We start from the raw sequence: 17141 nt of genomic DNA on the forward strand, positions 1-17141 counted from the left end.
CAGATGCTGGAGAGGATGTGGAGAAGTAGGAAGGCTTTTAGACTGTTGGTGAGAGTGTAAATTAGTTCAACCACTGTGGAAGACAGTGTGGCCATTCCTCAAGGATCTAGAACCAGAAATACCATTTGACCCAGCAATCCCATTACTGGGTATATACCCAAAGGATTATAAATCATTCTACCATAAAGATACATGCACACATATGTTTATTGCAGCACTGTTCACAATACACAGACTTGGAACCAACCCAAATGCCCATCAATGATAGACTGGATAAAGAAAATGTGGCACATACATACCATGGAATACTATGCAGCCATAAAAAAGGATGCGTTCATGTCCTTTGCATGGACATGGATGAAACTGGAAACCATCATTCTCAACAAACTAACACAAAAACAGAAAACCAAACACTGCATGTTTTCACTAATAAGTAGGAGTAGAACAATGAGAACACATGGACACAGGGAGGGGAACATCACACACCAGGGCCTGTCTGGAGCGTGGAGGGCTAGGGGAGAGATAGCATGAGAAAAAATACTTAATGTAGAGGATGGGTTGATGGGTGTGGCAAACCACCATGGCTCATTTATACCTATATAACAAACCTGCAAGTTCTGCACATGTATCTCAGAACTTAAAGTATAATAATTTAAAAAAAAGAAAAAAATTTAAAAGAAATAAAAAAGGAGGGGTTGGAGCATGGGAGAAAGAAAAGAAAAGCAATTTGAAGGACAGTATGTATAGTGTCATCTCATTTGTGAAACAATTTTTAAAAGAAAAATGCATGTAAATGTATAAGAAACTGCTGGAAGGATACACAAAGCCAAGAGCTATATGAAGAAGGTAAAGGAACCATAAGGAAGAGTTACCTTTCAGTTTTCACATAACTTTCTATCCCTTTTTAAAATAATAAGCATGTTATAATTTAATGAGTAGATGTGTTGATTTGAAAAACACACTGATCCTGAAAGTTAAAATTCCAATTCAGAGAAAATTGATTTCTATGAAAAGTATCAATTCCCCAACAATGCGAGAAAAATGAAGTGTAACTATACAACACAAACAGTAATTGAGGTTGTCATCATTCACTCTGATTTCACATATAGAATTTAAAACACCCGACTGGGCACAGTGGCTCACACCTGTAATCCCAGCACGTTGGGAGGCCAAGGCAGGAAGATCACTAGGTCGAGATGGAGACCATCCTGGCCAAAATGGTGAAACCTCGTCTCTACTAAAAATACAAAAATTAGTTGGGTGAGGTGTTGTGCTAGCTCACCAGGTACTGTAGTCCTAGCTACTCAGGAGGCTGAGTCAGGAGAATTGCTTGAACCTGGGAGGCAGAGGTTGCAGTGAGCCAAGATTGTGCCACTGCACTCCAGCCTGGTGACAGAGCAAGATGCCGTCTCAAAAAAAAAAAATTTAAAATGCCGCAGTCCTTCATGGACTGAACAAAACAAGATGAATGTGGGAATAAAGACAAAGGCAAAAGAGTATATTTGGAAGAAAGGATCAGGAGGCTCCTTGCTTCTAGTGAACAAGGGTGCTGAGCTTCTACAGCCCTTCGTATTTATTGAGTAAAGGAGATAGGGAGAAGGTGGTGGTTGTCAGTCAGCTGCTTGGCTTAGTGCAGGCTTGCATGACTGCATTCTTTGAACAGTAGTCTCCAGATGTTCCAGCAGATAACCTCAAGGAGCACAGCACCAGGGAGTGATTGCCCTCAGCAAACCTTCTGGCAGCAGGTGCAGAAGTGAGTTTGTACACGTTCTGCATTCATGATAAACAGTTTGCTGTTTGATCATGCAGCCTTCAGTGGAATGCTGAGTTGGTCACAACCCTCAGGCCTTTGGCTCCCTACATTAAAACACCCATTTCACCAGATTGAAAATATTCAGTAAAATTTCTGAAAAGGACTTAACACTTGCCAGCACTTAGTAAGGAAGTGCTCAATAAATACTGTTAACACTGTTACTATTATTTCTCTGCCTGGCAGTTGTCCTAACCCCACACCAGACCTCCCACATTGCCTAATCCTGACTTGTGTCAGTGATGCATGACTCAGCAGTGAATCTGGGACAGCTATTGCAAAATGCAAGACTTAAATTCCACCCCAGGTGAATTCTCTTCTGGACCACAGGCAGGCCTTGAAAAGGATGGGAGTAGAGCCCTCAATCATGGAGGCATTTGTCCCTCAAGATAGGCAGATGTTACCACCTCCATACAAGAACAATCCCATTGCCTATTACAGTTCCCATTTCAAAGAGATACTCCCACATATGCATGTATTTCCCTGAAGGATATCTTGTTCTTTTTTTTTTTTTTTTTTTTTTTGAGATGGAGTCTCTCATTCTATTGCCCAGGCTGGAGTGCAGTGGTGTGATCTAGGCTCACTGCAACCTCTGCCTCCCAGGTTCAAGCAATACTCCTGCCTCAGCCTTCTGAGTAGCTGGGATTACAGGCACGTGCCACCAGGCCTGGCTAGTTATTGTACTTTTAGTAGAGATGGAGTTTCACCATGTTGGTCAGCCTAGTCTCGAACTCCTGACCATGCCCAGCTAATTTTTGTATTGTTAGTAAAGACAGGTTTTCACCATGTTGGCCAGGCTGGTCTTGAGCTCCTGACCACACCCGGCTAATTTTTGTATTTTCAGTAGAGACTAGGTTTCAGCATATTGGCCAGCTGGTCTCAAACTCCTGACCTCAAGTGATCTGCCCACCTCAGCCTCCTAAAGTGCTGGGATTACAGGCATGAGCCACCATGCCCGGACCAAGATTTCCTGCTCTTATCTCCAATAAGCCAGCTTGATGAGGAGTAGTGCTAGAGATTCCCACACTTCTTGACTTCCTTCTATCCTTTTCTGCTCACAGGCCCCCTCCCTAATGTCCCCTGTGCTCTCCGCAAAAGAAATAGGCTGGAGGCCCAATAGCAACCCTGCCCACACAAGGGAGGGCCATGTGATGTTCACCAAGCTCCCAAGCCACAATTCTCTTTTCCCAGAATCCTTTGCTCTTTGAAGTATAGTCTTGCTCACCTTCCTGCAACCCTCAGCCCCTCAGTGGCCGTGTCTACCTCTGAAGAGAAGGGGAAGAGAGATCAAACGCCCCCTGCAGGCCTGTCCGTTTGAACCAAGCCTTGAGAACCCCCACAGCCGTCCTCCTGTGTACCCCCACCCCAGCGCCACACACAGATGGAGAGCCCTGGTAAAGGTTCCCACAGTGCATTAGCTCCAAACAGTGCAAGAGGACAAGGAGTGTGGTGCTTCCAGCCTCTGTCAATAGTTCATGAGGCTCAAACTAAGGAGCACCAGTCAGAGTCAGTTTTCCCTGGACATGGGGAAAATGATACTTAAGCTCTCCTGTCTCATCGGGATGTGCTGAGTAGCAAAGCAGAGTACTGCAGCTGTAACTTCTTGGCTGAGGAAAACACTATCAATACAGTGCAGGCCGTCCTATTACTTGCTCACTATACGCCACCGTTTGAATGTCGAAACCCTTTTTTTTTTTTTTTTTTGAGACAGAGTCTCCATCTGTCGGTCAGGCTGGAGTGCAGTGGCATGATCTCGGCTCACTGCAAGCTCCGCATCCCGGGTTCATGCCATTCTCCTGCCTCAGCCTCCCGAGTAGCTGCGACTACATGCACATGCCACCACGCCCGGATAATTTTTTGTATTTTTAGTAGAGACCGGTTTCATCGTGTTAGCCAGGATGGACTTGATCTCCTGACCTTGTGATCCACCTGCCTCGGCCTCCCAAAGTGCTGGGATTACAGGGTGAGCCACCACGCCCTGCTGAATGTTGAAATCCTTTTTCAGCTGCTCAGCTGACCTGCACATACACTAAATGAATCTTGAGCAAACATGAATTCTATTCAAAAGTCATGCCTAGAACTGGATTTTACAAACCAGGATTCTTTCCCCTCTAATTGTAGGGACTGGCATAAGGCTGCAAAACTGGTGATTTCACCAACAACACATCTCCAAACCTACCCATCTGCTTTCATCATCTTTTCTAAAAGAAAACACTAACACACAAAAAAAGAAGCAAACGTATACTCCACAATAAAGGACTGTTAAATAAGCTTAGCTTTATGAAACTCACTGTAATTGTTTCCTTTTCTCATTTTGCTTTGAACTAATGAAAACGCTGCCATGAACCAGCACTGCTTCTCAGTCTGGCTTAGGAGGCCAGTGGGTTAAACTAATTCAGATGCTTACATTTGGGTCTGTTGGGGCCTTTCTACAGTGTACCATAAGCCATCCATATTTATTCATTCTCCCGGAAACCCAGGAGGGAGATCATTTCAGCCCACTTGGCAGAAGTGGAGACTGAAGTCTTGGACACAGAATTTATAGCTGGCAAGGACTTTATTCATCATCTACTCCATACCCTCAGTAATTTACAGATGAAGAGTCTGGCCCAGGGCACCAATAATAATCACTACATGGTGGCAGTAACTACTATGTGCTTAGTAGCTTACAGTTCATAAAGAGATTTTGCATTCAACAAATATTTATTGAACTAGGATGGAGGCTAAGACCTGGGGACAGAGTGGTTAGGGAGAACTTGAGTGCCCCGAGTTCTTTGCATTTCCACCACTGCTTGAGGGACTGTCCAGCCTCCTCGCTACCACTTAGCCCCTGTAAAGGAGGAAGTCCCTTTGGCGAGGGATATGAGATCCTGTTTGGCCAATGATCATTGTCTGCAACATGGAGACCTTGGGCAGAGGGAAGGGCAGTGCCAGGCCTGGTGCAGCTACTCCCTATCACGTCTCTCTCCCAGGCTGCTCCAGCCTCACCTGGTGGACTCCATGGGGACCACAGGCCTCACCTCCATGGGCAGTCTCAAAACATTTGCCCTCCTGTGGGCTGTCACATACATAGACCCAGACTTTCTTGGAGAAGGAATTCTGAAGAAGCAAAAGCAACCAACTCAAAACCCCCACTTCCCCAAGAAGAAAAGGTGGGCAAGCAGATGCAGAAAGGCAGCAGCCAAAGGCTGCGGGTTCCTGCGGGGGCCAGGGGAGGGGCGAGCCCTACAGGCAACTTGAACGGAGAGCGCTTTGATCACCCGCCAGCCCGGGAAGGCAAGCCCCAGTCAGGCGGAAGGTAGCTGGCTGCGGGGCGCGGCGACTGGCGGGCGGCGGGCGGCGGGAGGCGCCAACCGCCACAGACGACTCCCAGCTGGCTGAGGGCGGGGAGGGAGCAGGCAGGGAAGCGGCCCGCCCTTCGTCCTGCCCCTTCGCCCTACTCTGTCACCTCGCTGGAAGGAGTGGAACCCAGACTTGCTGGTCTGATCCATGCACAAGGCGCGGCTACGAGGCCACTGTGCCCGGGCAGGGAAGTCGGTGCGGTTGGCCAGCTCCGGGATGACCCGCCGGGACCCGCTCACAAATAAGGTGGCCCTGGTAACGGCCTCCACCGACTGGTGAGTGTTGGTGCCGGAGTTTCTGAGGCCCTGGCTGCCTGGAAACAGGCACTGGTGTCTCGTCCTTTGCCTCCAGTGCCCCTGTCCTCAGACCTCACATACCGCCAAAGTCTGGCCATGGAAAAGAAGTAGCCACGTGGTCCGCCCGAAGCCCCTCCGAATCCCCTGGCCCTGGACCCTCCCTTGCCTGCCTTCGTGTCCCTGCTGCCTCTGGCACAACTGTGCCTCCTCTGTGAAGTCCCATCGATCTAGTCCCCCCAGTGTTCTGGGCTGCCCCCGTCAACCAGCACCACCTAGCGTCCGGGAAGACCAGAAACTAGAAATCCAAGGGAATCTGGATTTCAAAATCATATCCCAAGGCCTCCAGCACTTTGAAAATGTACCAGACATTCTATTTGGGCACCGGAAAGTCTCCCGGAACCCCTCCCCCTTACCTAGATGGGACACCAGAGCCAAGTGTCGAGATTTTTGTTTAGGTCGGTACATCTGGGCCGACCTTCGCCAGCCTGTTTCTCACCCACCTCTCTTCTCAGTCCTGGTTCTCATTTCTACAGGACTTTGCTAGATGCCAACTCTTCACAAAACTAAAATACAAATGTAGGTAAAATGCTAATGGCTGACAAGTGCAAAATGTGTAACTCTTCCTCCCAAGGCAATATTTACATTTTTGACCGGAGACCATCTTTTCACATGCACCCCAAAAAATAATTAAGGATAGAATTTTCAGAATGATGTAGACTAGTAAGAAAGAAACCTGGAGGCAGGGCTGTTCTGAGTGAGACCCTCAAATCACGGAAGTGGCTGCTGCTGCAAACCCAGCTCATTTCTCACCTCTCAGTCCCAAGAGGGGATGAAGCCTGTCACCCATGGTGGGAACTGTAGAAAGTGATGTCAGTTCTTGGGAACTGAGGCTGCAGTCCAAGATGATAATAAAAATAAGTAAAGGAACGCCAAAAATGGCTGTGCCATTAAGCCTGTTTTACACGTAGTAGAGACACATGGAGGTCATATAGAGAAAGAGCCAGAATTCAAAACCGGGCAGTCTAACTTCAGAGCCCATGCTGTCCATCTCTTCCCCTGCACAAGCCTTAGCAGTCTTTGTCTCTGCTCACAGGATCGGCTTCGCCGTCGCCCAGCGTCTGGCCCAAGACGGGGCCCACGTGGTAGTCAGCCGCCGGAAGCAGCAGAATGTGGACCAGGCAGTGGCCACGCTGCAGGGGGAGGGGCTGAGCATGACGGGCACTGTGTGCCATGTGGGGAAGATGAAGGACTGGGAGCGGCTGGTGGCCACAGTGAGCTGCAGGGAAATGGGCACAGAGCCAGGAGGTGGAAAAGGGAGCCAGCCTGAGCCTCCTTCCCTGCTTTCCTGGACAGCATTGGTGAGATCCAACGCAGTGATGTTAACTAAAACATAACAGTGTGTTCTGCATACCCAACCAGCCCACCAGCACGTTTTTATTGTGTGCCTTTCTATTATGTCCATATATTAAAGTTGGAGAATAATCCCATCCCAATCAGAGAATGTTAAAACATTCTAATGCTTCAACCCTGCATCATCCCTTGCATACCCCAAAGAAACCGCTGGTACTGGTTCTCCAGTAATTTTCAACCTAACTGGACAGATGAGAAGGGTAAATACAATCACAAAATAGATGTTCCCACCCATGAGCTAATAAACATTCCCCTCTTCTTCAGCTTACAGAGTCAAGTCCCTGGGAACTTCAGGAAGCAGCCCACCATGTTTCAACCACTTACTATGTGCCATTTCCTGTGTTCAGAGCCTTACACAGGTTATCTCTAGACCTGACAACAACCCAAGCAAGGCAAGGACTATTCTCTCGGTCTGCAGACGCTGGCTCAGATAGCTGGAGCAACTTCCCAAGGTCCCACAGCCAGTAAGGAAAGACCCAGACCTCCCAAGCTCCCTTCCTTTATTGGCTGCCTGTGGACTACCAGGTACTGGACTTTAGTCTCAAAGAAAGTATATAAGTCAGTGTCACAGTTAGTAGTGGATACCAGCCTTCCAGCTGCCGAAGGAAATATGAACCATCCAGCAAAGCAAGCTCCTCTTCCCTTGAGGCTCAGGATACACACTTTATTTTCCAGAGTGGAAGGGAGAATCTACCCAAAAATGGAAAGTACAGGGTTGTGCTAACAGATTGGAAGGTTGGCAGAAATAATTTGCATAATCTTAGAAGAGGAGGATCTTAAGCAATAGTAGACAGTAGCATGGTAGACAGTATAGGGTAATTCCGTTTTTAAGGAACTGTCTGGCAAATGCTCAAATGTGCATTGGAAAGAGCCAAATGTGAGTCCTAGAAAGTCACCTTGCCTGGCCTAGGCTGGTGGACAGAGCCCAAGATTGGGGCCTTGATCCTGATGGTGGAAGGAGCCGTTTGGGAGTCTGGGTCAATTAGTGACTAACCATATCACATGTAAGTAGCAATGTAATGTGAAAACCCTGTTGGGAAAACATCCTGTGGCCCCCACCAGGTTCACTTAACATGGCCTACAGGCCTGGCCCAGAGGTGGTACTTGAGCTAAACCTTAAGGAATGGATGGGAATGGACAGATGGAATAGTGACGAGGTTCCAGATAACTCTGCAAAATGAGCAGACAGCCAAGGAGGAACTGAAGGAAAGAGAGGAGCACTGTCAGGCCACAATGGAGAGCACAGGCTCAGGAGTACTGCTGGGGAAGGGGCTGCATTGGAAAGATAGAGGCCATGGGCCTCCATATCTTTTTTTTTTTTTTTTTTTTTTTTTTTTTTTTTTTTTTGTGACGGAGTTTCACTCTTGTCGCCTAGGCTGGAGTACAGTGGCACCATCTCGGCTTACTGCAACCTCTGCCTCCCAGGTTCAAGCAATTCTCCTGCCTCAGCCTCCTGAGTAGCTGGGATTACAGGTGCCCACCACCATGCCCAGCTAATTTTTGTATTTTTAGTAGAGACGGGGTTTCACCATGTTGGCCAGGCTGGTCTTGAACTCCTGACCTCAGGTGATCCACCCACTCAGCCTCCCAAAGTGCTGGGATTACAGGCGTGAGCCACTGCGCCCGGCCATAGCTTCTTAAAAGGATACGTTAAGGACCTTAAAAGGATATAGCCTCTTAAAAGGATATGTTTACACACTCTTGTAGCAAATAAGAAGCCATGTGAGGTTTTGAGCAAGAGAAAGATGGTTATTAGGAAAGCTAATCTGGCTCTGGTAGGAAGGATATACAGAGGAGACACCAAATCCAGGGCATCAGTGAGGAAGCTGTTGCTGTCGTCCAGGTTTAGAGCAGTGGCGGTGGGACTGGAATAGATGTGCCCAAGAGACATTCAGTGGAAACGAACCAAGATTTTCCAACCCCATGTCAAAAAGTGGGAAATAGAGAAGTCAAAAATGACTCTCAGGTAGTTTGTATGACCATTGTCAGAGAGGAGAATGATAGAATACTTGTCAGCAATTTGAAATGTCTTCTGCCAGTTGTCACATGTTACCCTGCAATGAGAAAAGCCACTGCCCTGAGAATGGATACTACCCAGTGGCCTCCTCATCTGCACACCACGAAGCTTCTCACTGGTGTTGTAAGTGGAAACCAGAGTAGCTGCCTATCTGCTTGATTATATTTTTTCTTAAAAATGTATAACTATCAGAACACAGAACAAACAGCTCCTAACCACTTTAGTGTAGTGATCACACAATTTAGAACACTTAGAAGACATCTTTTTCTTTTCCCCCCAGAGACAGGGCCTCACTCTGTTGCCCAGGCTGGAGTGCAGTGGCATGATCATAGCTCACTGTAACCTCCAACTCTTGAGCTCAAGCAGTCCTCCCCCGTCAGCCTCCCAAGTGGCTAAGATTATAGGCATGCACCACCACGCCAGTTCATCTTTTAAATTTGTTGTAGAGTTGGGGCTTTATTGCCCAGGCTGGTTTTGAACTCCTGGCCTCAAGCGGTCCTCCCTACTGGCCGTACCAAAGTGCTAGGATTATAGGTGTGAGCCACCACACCCAGCCTCATTCATCTTTTATGGTTTGCTGTCTCTGTTCATTCAAAACCCAGCCTCCTCCCATCTCTGTGCTGACAGACCTGGAAGTAGAGGGGCATGGGGTATGCAGCAGAGTAGAAAATGTCTCCAGGTGATTCTGGAGCAATCCACTGTCTTCTCCCAGCCCAAACACACGTGCACTGAGCACAGCACACATCACTTATTAACTTATTCTGCACCTCCCTAGTAACAAGTACATTGGTGAGACTTACACAGAGCCAAGGCAGGTGACTTGGCTTTGTGCCAGGATACCAAAATTTAAAGGGTGCAAGAAAGTATTCATACTGGTTTTAAAAGAGTACTTGACTTTAAATTTTGTTAGATTTACACGTTGACAGCCCAGGCATTTCTTCAACTGTGTTGAAGGTTAGCACCTAGTTAACAAGAATAATTAGTTAAAATGGGAAGCTAGCAGATGGTGTACATTGTTAATAACACCCCTCCGTGGGCCAAATCCGGAGCACAAAATTGACCAAGGGCCCATGTACTGCTACTTGCCCAAGGCATCAAAATTGCCAGTTCCAGGCAAATGCAAAGTCTGGTTTCAGGGTGGCTTTGTACTGAAAACCCTTGTTGGCAGATTCTGCTTGGCCATTCATTACTCTAGCACATGCCTCACTACCTACTTATAACTTATTAAGGAGGTGAGATGTTGCCTTTCTTGGCTTTCTCAGTTTAAATTTCCCTTTCTGCCTTGAATCTTTCATGCCTCCAGGTCAAAAGAGAGAGACAGAGACAGGGAAAATGACATCATAACCAAATATGGAATTGCTTTAAATTCAGGCTGGTATCTTCTCCCATCATGGCTCTCCTGGGCAGCCGGTTTCCTAATGACCCCAGCTCACTTTCAGAGGGCTCTTACGAATTAGCTCTGTGCTACAAAGTGGGAGACTGACCTCAGTTCTTCCACCACTAACTAGCTTTATGCCCTGAACAAATCACTTTCCCCAACACGGAATAAGCAGGCCTCCTGTTCTTAGCTAGCCCCAGTGTGTTACTACTGAACTATATGATCTTGAGAAAATTCCCTGAACCTGTTTCATCATCTCCACCTTAAGGACATTGGAATAGATGATCTCAAAGGCCCCTCCAGGGTAACTTTCTACAGCTCTATTTAAGCCAGTTTTTCCATTCAGGTAAGTGTGGCCAGATTGACTTTGAAATAATGGTAACTTATTCAAGAAGAACTGGACAGTAAGCACTTGGAGAAATGTGGGTGGAACTCAGTGTGAAAGGAAGAGGAGGGGTCTGGAAATAGATTTTGGGGTGAGATTTGAAATCACGAGAATGAAGGAGCTCCCAAATGGGAAAATGTAAAGAAAAGAGCATAGGGTCAGAGACAGCCTTAGAAGAATAGGAGGTGGGAAGAAAACACTGCAAAAGAAATAAGGCCAACTTCCTGGTGGCTCACACCTGTAACACTTTGAGAGGCCGAGGCAGGCGGATGGCTTTAGCTCAGGAGTTCCAGACCAGCCTGGGCAACATGGCAAGACCCTGTCTCTACAAAAAGTACAAAAATTGCCCAGGTGTGATGGCACGCACCTGTATTCTCAGCTACTTGGGGGGCTGAGGCAGGAGGATGGCTTGAACCCAGTAGGTCAAGGCTGCAGTGAGCTGGGATCATGCCACTGAACTCCAGCCTGGGTGACAGAGGAAGACTCCATCTAAAAAAAGAAAGAAGCCAACCTTAAATGGTTAGCAGCAGATCTTAGGGTAGTTTTCAAAAAAGATGTTTTAAGAAATAGAAGTTATTTTGACGATAGTTCCTAAGAAGGAAGATTTGTTGTTGTTGTTGTTGTCATTGTTGTTGTTTTTTTAAATATAGGGATAAGGTCTCCCTATGTTGCCCAGGCTTCTCTCAAACTGCTCAGTTCAAGTGGTCCTCCCACCGTGACCTCCCAAAGTGCCATGATTCCCGGCGTGAGCCACCACGCCCCGCCCAGAAGGAAGTTTTTATCAACGTGAATAAATGCACCTCCCTTACTTACTGCAGCCCTGGTCCAGACCTTACCCCTCTCCCTAGGCTATGAAGCTTCATGGAGTTATTGATATCCTATCACTATCGATAACAAACTCCGTCTGCTTTTAGAATGTGTTTATCAAGTGCAGTGTAAATGTGAGGAGTCTTTGCCACATGCCACACACCTGGAGCACACCTGGTAAAGGGCGGGTGGGGGCAGCTTCCTCTGTCCCTGCCCTTCTCATTCGTTTCTGCTGCTCCTACTTCTGTCTGCTTCCATCTGCCCTTCACTATCCACCGTCTGCTCCCCTCCCCAGCCTTCTTCCCGGCATGCTCTGCTACCTGGTTGATTTCCAACAGAGACGTGGCAGCTAATATGCCAACAACTATGACACTTAAACTTACACACCCAACTGTCCCCCTTTCAGCTGCCAAAAAGGAATCATTTTTCATTAGCTGGGAAATATTAAAAGCTGCTAGTTAAGTAAAATACTAATTCTGGTGAAATAACCAGTTGCCACTTTATAATATACATCCTTTAAAAAAGTAAAAATAAAAACCTATATTATTTTCTTCCTAACTGCAATGTCAAGAAAATCTGAGATCCAGATGTCTATATTCAAGTGGTACAATATTGGGTTTTATGTGTAAGTATATAATTACATTACATTCGTAATATATTTCACACACATTCTTTAATTACAAAGCTTTAATTAAAATATTTGTCTTTGTATACTAAGGTTAATAGTCCCACGATTTGGAAATGCTAATTTTTTATGATCTCCCATGGTTTTGCTTTTTACTCTGATGTTGTATTAGTCTGTTTTGCGTTGCTATAAAGGAATACCTGAGCTGGGCAATTTATAAAGAAAAAGAGGGTTGTGGCCGGGCGCGGTGGCTAACGCCTGTAATCCCAACACTTTGGGAGGTCGAGGCGGGCAGATCACGAGGTCAGGAGATCGAGACCATCTTGGCTAACATGGTGAAAGCCCGTCTCTACTAAAAATACAAAAAATCAGCCGGGTGTGGTGGCGGGCACCTGTAGTCTCAGCTACTTGGGAGGCTGAGGCAGGAGAATGGTGTGAACCCGGGAGGCGGAGCTTGCAGTGAGCCGAGATTGCGCCACTGCACTCCAGCCTGGGTGACAGAGCGAGACTCCGTCTCAAAAAAAAAAAAAAAAGAAAAGAAAAGAGGGTTGTTTTGGTTTACACTTCTGCAGACTGCAGAAGAAGCATGGTGCCAGTATCTGCTTCTGATGAGGCCTCAGGAAGCTTACAATCATAGCAGAAGGCAAAAGGGAGCAGGCGCGTTACATGGCAAGAGAGGAAGTGAGATACCAGGCTTTTAAACAACTAGCTCTGGCATGAACTAATAGAGTGAGAGCTCACTAATTGCCACCAGGAGAGCACCAAGCCATTCATAAGGGATCCACCCCATGACCCAAACACCTCACACCAGGTTCCACCTTGAACACTGGTGATCACATTTCAACATGGGACTTAGAGGGGACAAACATACCAACTATATCAGATGTCATCAAACATTTCTCAACACTAAAGTATCAGGATGTGAAAACACTATGATTTATTTACCAGTGTTTCATACACATAAAGACCAAAGTGCCAAAATGTTCTTCAGTGAGCTAGTTTTTTATTGTTAAGCTTTGTCCCTCTTTTTTTTTTTTTCCTCGCTGTGTCATCGAGGCTGGAGTGCAGTGCTGCGATCTAGCTCACTGCAACCCCCGCCTCCCAGGTTCAAGCGATTCTTGTGCCTCAGCCTGCCAAGTACCTGGGACTACAGGCATGTGCCACCATGCCCGGCTAATTTTTGATATTTTCAGTAGAGACAGGGTTTCACTGTGTTGCCCAGGCTGGTCTCAAATTCCTGGCCTCAACTGATCCACCCACCTCGGCCTCTCAAAGTGCTGGGATTATAGGCGTGAGCCACTGCACCCAGACAGATTCTGATAGTCTTTACAATGGAGGAACATCTTTCATGAACAGTCTGAATAGAGACCCTATGAAAGTCAGTTTTAAACTAAGTACAGGCACACCTCGGAGATATTGTGGGTCTGGTTCCAGGCCACCGCACAATAAAGTGAATATTATAATAAAGTGAGACACACGAATTTTTTGGTTTCCCAGTGCATATAAAAGTTACGTTTACACTATAATGGTCATCTAATGGTTGTCTATTAAATGAGCAATAGCATTATGTCTTTAAAAATATATACATATCTTAATTTTAAAATACTTTATTGCTAAAAAGTGCTAACAATGATCTGAGCCTTTAGAAGTTGTAATCTTTTTGCTGGTGGAGGGTCTTTTTTTTTTTTTTTTTTTAGATGGAGTCTCACTGTGTAGCCCAGGCTGGAGTGCAATGGCACCATCTCGGCTCACTGCAACCTCCGCCTCCCAGGTTCAAGCGATTCTCCTGCCTCAGCCTCCTGAGTAGCTGGGACTATAGGCACCCGCCACCACACCCAGCTAATTTTTTGTATTTTTAGTAGAGACGGGGTTTCACCGTGTTAGCCAGGATGGTCTCAATCTCCTGACCTCGTGATTCACCCGCCTCGGTTTCCCAAAGTGCTAGGATTACAGGCGTGAGCCACCACATCCGGCCTTAGAGGGTCTTGCCTCAACATTGATGGTGGCTGACTTAGGGTGGTGTTGCTGAAGGCTGGGGTGGCTGTGGCAATTTCTTCAAATAAGACAGCAGTGAAGTTTGCCACATCAGTTGACTCTTCCTTTCACAAAAGATTTCTCTGTAGCATGCAAGCCTGTTTGATAGCATTTACCCACAGTAGAACTTCTTTCAAAATTGGAGTCAATCCTACAAACTCTACCACTGCTTACTCAACTAAGTACATATCATATTCTGAATCCCGTGTTGTGATTTCAACAATGTTCATGGCATCTTCACCGGAAATAGATTCCATCCCAAGAAACCACTTTATTTGCTTATCCGTAAGAACCAGCTCCTCAGCCATCTACATTTTGTCGTGAGATTGCAGCAATTCAGTCCCATCTTCCAGCTCCACTTCTAGTTCTCTTGCTATTTCCACCACATCTGCAGTTCCTTCCTCTGATGCAGTGTTGAACCCTTCCACGTCATCCATGAGGGTTGGAATCAACTTCTTCCAGACTCCTGTTAATGTAGATATTTTGACCTCCTCCCATGAATCACAAATATTCTTAATGGCATCTAGAATGGTGGATCCTTTTTAGAAGGTTTTCAGTTGACTTTGCCCAGATAAATCAGAGGAATCATTATCTATGGCAGCTACAGCCTTACAAAATGTATTTCTTAAATAACAAGTCTTGCAAGTCAGAATTACCCCCTGATCCATGGGCTGCAGAATGGATGTTGTGTTAGCAGGCATGAAAACAACATTAATCTCCTTGTACATCTCCATCAGAGCTTTTGAGTGACCAGGTGCATTGTCAATGAGCAGTAACAGTTTGAAAGGAATCTTTTTCTGAGCAGTAGCTATCAACGGTGAGCTTAAAATATTCAGTTAACCATGCTATAAACAGATGTGCTGTTATCCAGGCTTTGTTGTTCCATTTATAGAGCACAGGCAGAGTAGATTTAGCATAAATCTTGAGAGCCCTAGAATTTTCAGAATGGTAAATGAGCATTGGCTTCAACTTAAAGTCACTGGCTGCATTAGCCCCTAACAAGAGAATAAGCCTGTCCTTTGAAGTTTTGAAGCCATATTAACAATAAAGCTGTTTTGCTTTCTTATCATTTATGTGTTCACAGAAGTAGCACTTTTAATATCCTTCAGAGATTTTTCCTTTGCACTCATGATTTGGCTACTGGTGCACACGGCCTAGCTTTCAGCCTGCCTCAGCTTTCAATATGCCTTCCTCACTAAGCTCAATTATTTCCAGCTTTTGATTTAAAGTGTAAGATGTGTTACTCTTCCTTTCACTTGAACACCTAGAGGCCATTGTAGGGTTAATAATTGGCCTAATTTCAATGTAAATGTGTCTCAGGGAATATGGAGGCCAACAGAGAGGGAGAGAGATGGGAGAAGGGCGGAGCAGTCAGAACACACAACATTTTTCCATTAAGTTGACCTTCTTTTCTGGGTGTGGTTTGTGGTACCCCAAAACAATTATAATAAAAACACAAAAGATCACAGATCACCGTAACAGACGTAATAATAATGGAAAAGTCTGAAATATTCCAAGAATTACCAAAATGTGACCCAGAGACAAACTGAGCACATGCCATTGGAAAAATGGCTCCAATTAGCACAGGGTTGCCATGAACCTTCAATTTGTAAAAGACGCAATATCTGCAAAGAGTAATAAAATAAAGTGTGCCTGTAACTTTTCTTTTAGTTTATATATTATTTTAAATATCACAGTACATCAAATCCAAACATAATAGCTGATCCTTGATTGAACTCTGGACTTTAAAAAAAAAAAACCACATTTCGGGGACAATTGAGGCCAATATATTAGATAAAATTATCATCAATGTCAAACTTCTTGGGTGTGATAATGGATTATGGTTGTGTAAAAGAACATCCTTACTCTTTGGGAATGTATGCTAAGTATTTAGGGATAGAGCATTCTAATATCTGCAACTAAGTTTATTTATTTTAATTTTTTTTATTTATTTTTTGAAATGGAGTCTCGCTTTATTGCCCAGGCTGGAGTGCAGTGTTGCGATCTTGGCTCACTGCAACCTCCACCTCCCGGGTTCAAGCTATTCTCCTGTCCCATCCTCCTGAGTAGCTGGGATTACAGAAACATGCCACCACGTCTGGCTAATTTTTGTATTTTTAGTAGAGAAAAATTGGTGAATCTAAGTGAAGGATCTCTAGATTCTCCTTGTACTTCTATTTCCAATTTTTCTGTAAGATTGAAATATTTTAATATAAGCAGTTGTCTAGAACAATGTAAACAGGGTCATACATTTGTTTTAGATTATGGATGTGGGGATTCTGATTGTAGCCATCCCCCAGCTTCCCCAGAAGGTGCCTCCTCGTGCTCCCACTTTCTAACCATGCCTAGCCAGACAGTCCACCCTAGAGGACCAATAGCATCTCATTCCCTAAATGCAGAAGCCAGAGAAGTGCTAGAACAACCCCAGGTATCCAAGGTCAGGCCACATTTTCCCTGAGAAGCATGGCCTACTCTAGGGCAGGTCCAGAAGGCTGACAATTCCAGACTTTCCCTACTTTGAAAAAACAGAGAAAACACAGCTCAAATCCGAAGGAGCCCTGAGGATTTAGGCTCCTTCTGGGCCAAATCATACTTGGCTGGTTATGAAACTAGATGAACCAGGCTCCATTTTTGCTCACCTGAACCTAATGTATCATTATCTAGCTGAGCAGCTGGTGAGAGCTACTTCTCCCTGAACCTCAGTTGCTTCATGTGTAAGATACAGGTATATCATCCTAAGATCTTCGTCAGCTTTGACAAACATCCTAGGAACCCATTCTAACTCCTCATTGCCATGTCTCCTCCAGTGCTCTACACTCATGTTGTTTCCCCTTCTTCTTTTGGCTTCAGAATCTGGACATTAATGGGAAGGCCCTAGCCCTAATGATAAAGGCAGTGGTGCCAGAAATGGAGAAACGAGGGTACAGAGAGTGAGAGAGAGCCTGGGTGAGATGGGACCCCACACAGGCTGAGGGCAGTGGTCCACACTGGGAAGACGGTCAGCTCTCTTCTTTTTCCAGGGGTGGTTCAGTGGGGT

General features: G+C 45.7%; 1 pseudogene across 8 annotated transcripts in view, besides 2 other annotated features; it reads left to right on the top strand.

Annotated features, from left to right (window-relative positions):
- DHRS4L1 (dehydrogenase/reductase 4 like 1 (pseudogene)) overlaps nucleotides 1-17141 on the top strand; it is a 44294-nt pseudogene that overhangs the window by 24118 nt on the left and 3035 nt on the right. For 2 of the 8 annotated variants that reach the window (NR_102692.2, NR_102694.2), the window contains exons 1-2: nucleotides 5244-5427; nucleotides 7123-7383. The exons of 1 other annotated variant lie outside the window; for it this stretch is intronic. The product of NR_102692.2 is annotated as a dehydrogenase/reductase 4 like 1 (pseudogene), transcript variant 4 (transcript). Of the gene's footprint in view, nucleotides 1-5243; nucleotides 5428-6541; nucleotides 6807-7122; nucleotides 7384-16954; nucleotides 17051-17141 lie in introns of those variants that run through there. 5 more of the 8 variants (NR_102693.2, NR_102689.2, NR_171045.1 and 2 more) reach the window with 5 other exon arrangements.
- Nucleotides 5050-5189: a silencer, noted in NCBI's record as "silent region_5616". NCBI's record gives its function as "represses an Ori minimal core promoter by ATAC-STARR-seq in GM12878 lymphoblastoid cells {active_cell/tissue: GM12878}" and the evidence as "EXISTENCE:reporter gene assay evidence [ECO:0000049][PMID:35858748]".
- Nucleotides 5640-5729: an enhancer, noted in NCBI's record as "active region_8183". NCBI's record gives its function as "activates an Ori minimal core promoter by ATAC-STARR-seq in GM12878 lymphoblastoid cells {active_cell/tissue: GM12878}" and the evidence as "EXISTENCE:reporter gene assay evidence [ECO:0000049][PMID:35858748]".

This window comes from Homo sapiens, chromosome 14, assembly GCF_000001405.40.
Source record: "Homo sapiens chromosome 14, GRCh38.p14 Primary Assembly".
Classification (NCBI taxonomy): Eukaryota; Metazoa; Chordata; class Mammalia; order Primates; family Hominidae; genus Homo; species Homo sapiens.